This window comes from Homo sapiens, chromosome 5 (genome assembly GCF_000001405.40).
Source record: "Homo sapiens chromosome 5, GRCh38.p14 Primary Assembly".
Lineage (NCBI taxonomy): Eukaryota > Metazoa > Chordata > Mammalia > Primates > Hominidae > Homo > Homo sapiens.
In genome coordinates this window covers 536,442-542,441 of record NC_000005.10, presented here as the reverse complement: position 1 = coordinate 542,441, position 6,000 = coordinate 536,442, and the positions used below count along the sequence as shown (strand labels likewise).

The 6,000-nt window shown below is 60.8% G+C and overlaps 1 annotated feature.

Annotated features, from left to right (window-relative positions):
• Positions 524 to 1,109: an enhancer, noted in NCBI's record as "H3K4me1 hESC enhancer chr5:541448-542033 (GRCh37/hg19 assembly coordinates)". NCBI's record gives its function as "activates a minimal SCP1, AML or CMV promoter by ChIP-STARR-seq in primed H9 embryonic stem cells {active_cell/tissue: H9 hESC(primed)}" and the evidence as "EXISTENCE:reporter gene assay evidence [ECO:0000049][PMID:30033119]".

The window sequence follows — 6,000 nt, the reverse complement described above, 5'->3', positions numbered from 1 at the left end:
TGCTCCCAGGGGACACACCGGGGCCACTGAGGGCTGTCAAGACAGGGCCTAGGCATGACCTTGGTGACAGTTTGTTACCTGAAAAAAAAAACAAAAACAAAAACAAAACTTTTCAAGAAAAGCACCTAAGAAGATGAAGTGGGAACGTCATGTGGTGGGCACGCCAGCTTTCAGAGACGCGGTGGGAACGTCAGCCTTTCAGAGATGCGGTGGGAACGTCAGCCTTTCAGAGACACGGTGGGCACCCCAGCTTTTCAGGGGCTTTTCAGGGTCGTCCTTGCCCTGCACGTGGGACCAGGACCGATGTTCACCTGCTGGAAACTTGGGTCTCAGCCAGTGCAGGCCCCTCCCATGCCCCAGAGATGGGAAAAGGGGCTTCTCCCGGACCTTGGGCTCCTTCGTCCTCTGCTCAGGGCTGGGAGCTGAGGTCGGTGCCTCAGATGCCCCACCTGCCCCTTCCACCTGAGAGCTTCAAACAGAGTGGACAGCACCGACTCCCACAGCACAGCCAGAGTCCTAGGAAGGCACCGCGGTTGTGCCATTTTCTCCCTGCCTCACTGAGGGCCTGTGCTTGAGCTTCTCACCAGCAGCCCCGTCCCTTGCCTGCAGCTGAGGGTGATGCTCCCTCCCGGGGTCAGCCTAGGGCCCCGGCCCCTCCCCAGCCCCACCCCAGTGTCATCCTCAAGAGGCTCCACCTGCTTACCACGCCCATCTCCCCCATGCCCCGCCCCAGGCCCTCTCCAGGCCCCGCCCCCTCAAAGCCTCTGCCTCAGGCCCTGTGATGGGCAGGGGGCATCTGTGAGGAGCAGGGGAAGGTGGAGGGGCCCAGAGGCGAAAGGGTCTCACCAGGGCACCTGCTTCCCACAGAGCTGTGTCTGTGCAGACATCAGAGGGCTGCAGGCCCTGAGCTCATCCCAGACCCTCAGGTCTTACCAGGCAGCCCAGGGTTGGGGACAAGAGCACTGTCACCTTCCCCCCCAGGTGGCCCCAACCAGCCCCAGGCATGAGAGCCCCTTCCTTGACCTGTCCGGGGCACCCCACGTGACCTGCCCCTGGGGGAAGGGCGGCACCCCATCCTCAGTGACCTGGAGGTCGGAGGGCAGCTGCCTCGCCCCAGCCCAAGGCGCACAGAGCCCCCCAGGCCAGCGCAGCCCTGTGGCCCCAGGCAAGCCCTGCAAGATGGATGAGAAGCCTCGCCCTTGCCAGCCCCCTCCCCAACCCCAGGCCAGAAGAGATGGCAAGGAGGGCGGTGGGCACAGCAGCCCCTCCAGAGGAGCCAGGACCCAACCCAGGAGGCGGGCAGCCCACTTGATGGGGAGGGAGGCAGAGGGGGTGGAGGAGGGGACCAAACCCTTCCTGGTCCCTCAACACCCCCCTGCTGCACCAAGAGGTTGTGCAAAAGAGCCGGCATGTCCTGCAGAGCCTGCGGGTCACGTGTGTTAACAGGAGCGGGATGCTTCCCTCCCGGCTGTGTCTGTCCAAGGCCGAGCATGGTCCAAGCCCCTGTGAGGCCCCGCAATGCATATCAGGACCCCTCAGCTGCACACATTGTTGCTTTTATTATTATTATTGGAGATGAAATCATAGCACATCTGGGATGGCTTCAAAGTCGTCCTGGAGAGAAGGACGGGGCAGCAGGCCAGGAGGGAGACGGGCATTAGGACAGAAGGTGCCTGAAGTGGGTGCAGCCGGGAGCCTTCTTGGAGGAGGTGGCTCCGAGCTGAGATCCCTGAGTCAGGAAGGACCCAAAGCCTGAGAGACCATGCCCAGAAAGTCAGGAGAAACAAGGCTGCCCCGCTCCAGGGCGAAGGGCTGGGAAGGAGGCAGAGGGCGAGAGCCACAGGCCCAAAATCCAGAGAGGCCATCCCAGCTCCAGCCCTGCCATGAGGCAGCACAGAGGCCTCGGTGACCCTGGCGGAGCTGTGTCTTGGGGACAGATCAGTGAGAAGATGGGAGGCGTGGGCATCCAGGCTGGACCTCTCTGGATGGAGGGAGTAGGGGCGGGCTACACAGGAGAGGAGCCGGGGACACAGGGGAGGGGCACAGAGCTGAGGCTGAGGCAGGGCCGTGGAGATGGGAGGGGAGGCCAGGGCTTGGCGTGGAGATCGCGAGCTGATTCAGGGGAAGGGAGTGCCCCCGTGCTCTCAGGGTGGGTGCTGAGGGGGCATCCGGGCAGCTCCCCAGAGCGGGTGAGGGGCCCAGAGGGGGAGCCTGGCCCGCCAGGGAGGCAGGGGGTCTGCAGAGGCAGCTGCCGACACAACTGGGACAGCCCTCTTGAATGGAAGCCTCTGGGTGGCTGTTGGCAGTGCGTGGCACACAACACAATGAATGTCTACATAAACATTAATTAGCACCAGTTAATGAATAATTACACACCCCACGGTGTCGCCCAGTGCGGAGCTGTCGCTTGATAAAGATTGAATGAGAAGGACAGCAAAGCACTGATTGATAAGAGCCTTCCCTTTTGTGATCGATGCCAAGGTCACGGGTGGGGAGGGGCTGGGGGGCACAGCAGACACACCTCGGCCGCACACCCAGGACCCGCTGCAGGGAGCCCCGGTGCCCTGGCCCCGGTGCAGCCCTGATGCCTGCACCCACCCCATTTGAGGAGGAGCTTTGGGACCGGGCTTTGGCTGCCGCCTCAGTGACAGCTCTGCCGGGGGTCACGTTACTGTCGCCGTTTTCTATTGATGTTTGGCGCAGAGTCCAGCTGTGGGGGGCTCATGCGCACAGCAACCTCAGGGCCAGCACCCCCGACATGGCAGCTTTTCTTTCTTGGCTCACAGACAGCACCGGGAGGCAAGGTCAGGGGGCCAGGGACAGGCAAAGTAAGGCAGTTCCCAGGCGTGGGCAGCTCCCTTCCTACAGGCTGGTTACTACAGCCAGAGAGGGTGGAGGCATCATCACTGGGCTCACCTCCCAGCCCATCTGAGAGGCCAGATGCGGCCGTCCACGTGTGGCCAGCAGGTAGGTAGGGGCACCAGGGGTGCGAGTCTGCCTTCCAGGGTGCAGAGGATTTCATTTCCGGAGAAGCTGCCAGCCGGAGAGCTCCTCTTCCCAGCCCGGCCCTCTGGCCTCTGGTCCCCGATCCATGCAACGACTTCTCCAAAGCCAGGAGTCCTGAGCTGCAGTTGCCGAGGCAGCAGACAGAGCCCCGAGGCCAGCTCTTCTGTGCACAGCCCCTCCCAGGCGAGCTGACGCAGGAAGAAGAGGGAAAGCTTTGTGTGGGCATAGCGCTTGTCCCAGCGAGCCCACGGGACAGGTGCCAGGCTCCCGGCCGAGGTCCCTGCTCTAGAGCTGCAGACACACAGAGCTGGTGTCCCTTCCGAGGACACACACATGCACACACACGCACACATGCCACCACGCTTTATTTCAATCACCTGGTCCCACCGAGGACACCTCGTCGTGCGTGTAGTTGGGACTCCTCGCCTGTTGCCTGTGTCTCCTGAGCTCCAGGCTGGCTGGGAGACGCATGTGGGGCTGGGCTTAGGAGGCACAAGTGCAGGCCAGATGCTGGTCCTGTGCCGGCTGCTTCCTTGACTCTCTCTGGCTGACTGCTGCCAGGCCTGTGCTAGCAGGGTCTTGGGAAGACCCTGGAGCGAACACCCAAGCACCCGTGCCCCTCCTGCCAGCCCAAACCGTGCCATCACACACAGACACAAGCTGGGGCAGGTGTGGCATGAAGGAAATGGCAACTGTGCTCCTCCGCAAATGTTCCAACAGTCCCCTGGCCAGCCTGGTGCCACAGCCAAGTCAGGGACGCCATCTCCCAGAGGCGCGGTTACTCCCTTGAGCCGTCGGTGCTTGGCGACGTTTTCCCTGAGGGAGCCCTGGGCGGCTGAGGCGGCATCGTCAGGCAGGCACAGGTGATGGGACAGAGCTGAGCATCCCCAGCCGCTGTCCTCTGTGCATCTCCTGAAACCCCCAAGATGGCTGCCCAAGGCCAGTGGGGTTCCGGGGTCCCCCATCCCGACAGCCGCCTGCCCACCTGGCCATCCAGGTGCCCTTTCAGCCCTGCTTCTGCCGTCGGTGACTCCAGGCTTTGGAGGAGAATCTGGGGGCTTCCCTGTGAAGGGGGTGAGACCCGCAGGAGCGGCACGCCAAGAACGTGGCTGATGATGCGCTGGCCACTAGCGGAACGCCTGCGACCCGGGGCCGTGGGTCAATCAGTGAACTGATGGAACGTCAGCATCCGTGACCTTCTTCTCCTCTCAAATCACCAGCCTTCCACGGGCCCACCAACCAACCCTGAGCTCGTGGGCTAGGTGGATTCCTTCTGGCTCAGCTCTGTGTTGACCTCACGCCTTATTCTCCTCTCAAATCACCAGCCTCCCACTGGCCCACCAACCAACCCTGAGCTCGTGGGCTGAGTGGATTCCTTCTGGCTCAGCTCTGTGTTGACCTCACGCCTGGGCAGTGGCTCAACTGTGACCATCACGACTTCCATCCACGCAGAGCCGCCTTCTCCTGTGCAGGGCAGCTGTGCCCACACTCACTGGCCCTGGGCCAGGGACCTCCCCGGCAGCAGTGGGCTGGCATGGTGTGACCCCCACCTGACAGATGAGAACGCTGGGCACAGAGAGGCCAAGTGACTCCCTAGAGGCAGCACAGCCAACCAGTGTGGGAACGGGATTCCCCCAGGCCCTCGGGCCAATGCAGACACGGCTGCCACTCGGTGAGAACGTCCACAGCGAGGCCAGCAGAGTGGGGCCTGGCAGGGAGCGGGGCCTGGCTCTGTGACTGCGTGACCCATGGCCGGCCACTGAAGCCTTCCGCTTCCTTGTTTTAAAATGGGATTAGGAGTGGAGGTGAATGCCAGGCTGGCCGCACCAGGTTCCCACAGGTATCAGATGAAACCCGGGTAGGGACCCGCAAGGGGCCAGCAGCCGTGAGCTGTTGTTATTTTTCTGAGTGTATAATACTCAGTCTCTAAATAGGGAAGTTAGAGACTGAGCAATGAGTGTATTCACGGTAGACAGGCATGGGGGACAGTCCATGGGCCTTGGTCTGGGAGCCCAGTGGTGGCCAGCACGGCTGGAGAACGGTGGGCAGCGCCGGACCCCACCTGCCTTCTCAGCGGCTTTCTGTAGACGCGAGGCCGTGCTAGGGAAGGTGTCTCAGCCCCGCGGTGGGGTGGGCAGTGCCCTGCAGATGCCGTTGAGCGGGCTTTCATCGGGGAGGTGAGCCGGCCGGAGCAAAGCATCGCCCACCTGTGCAGCGTCAGACTCACAGAATCGCTAACACACAACGCTCAGGGAGAAAAGCCAGAGTCACAGAATCGCTAATGCACAACGCTCAGGGAGAAAAGCCAGACTCATAGAATCACTAAGTCACAATGCTCAGGGAGAAAGGCAGAGTCACAGAATCACTAACACACAACGCTCAGGGAGAAAGTCAGACTCACAGAATCACTAACACACAACGCTCAGGGAGAAAGTCAGACTCACCGAATCACCAACACACAACGCTCAGGGAGAAAAGCCAGAGTCACAGAATCGCTAATGCACAACGCTCAGGGAGAAAAGCCAGACTCATAGAATCACTAAGTCACAATGCTCAGGGAGAAAGGCAGAGTCACAGAATCACTAACACACAACGCTCAGGGAGAAAGTCAGACTCACAGAATCACTAACACACAACGCTCAGGGAGAAAGTCAGACTCACCGAATCACCAACACACAACGCTCAGGGAGAAAGTCAGAGTCACAGAATCACTGACACACAACGCTCAGGGAGAAAGGCCAGACTCACAGAATCACTAACGCACAACGCTCAGGGAGAAAGAGTCACAGAATCACTAACACACAACGTTCAGGGAGAAAGTCAGACTCACCGAATCACTAACACACAACGCTCAGGGAGAAAGGCAGAGTCACAGAATCACTAACACACAACGTTCAGGGAGAAAGGCCAGACTCACAGAATCACTAACGCACAACGCTCAGGGAGAAAGGCAGAGTCACAGAATCACTAATACACAACGGACAGGGAGAAAAG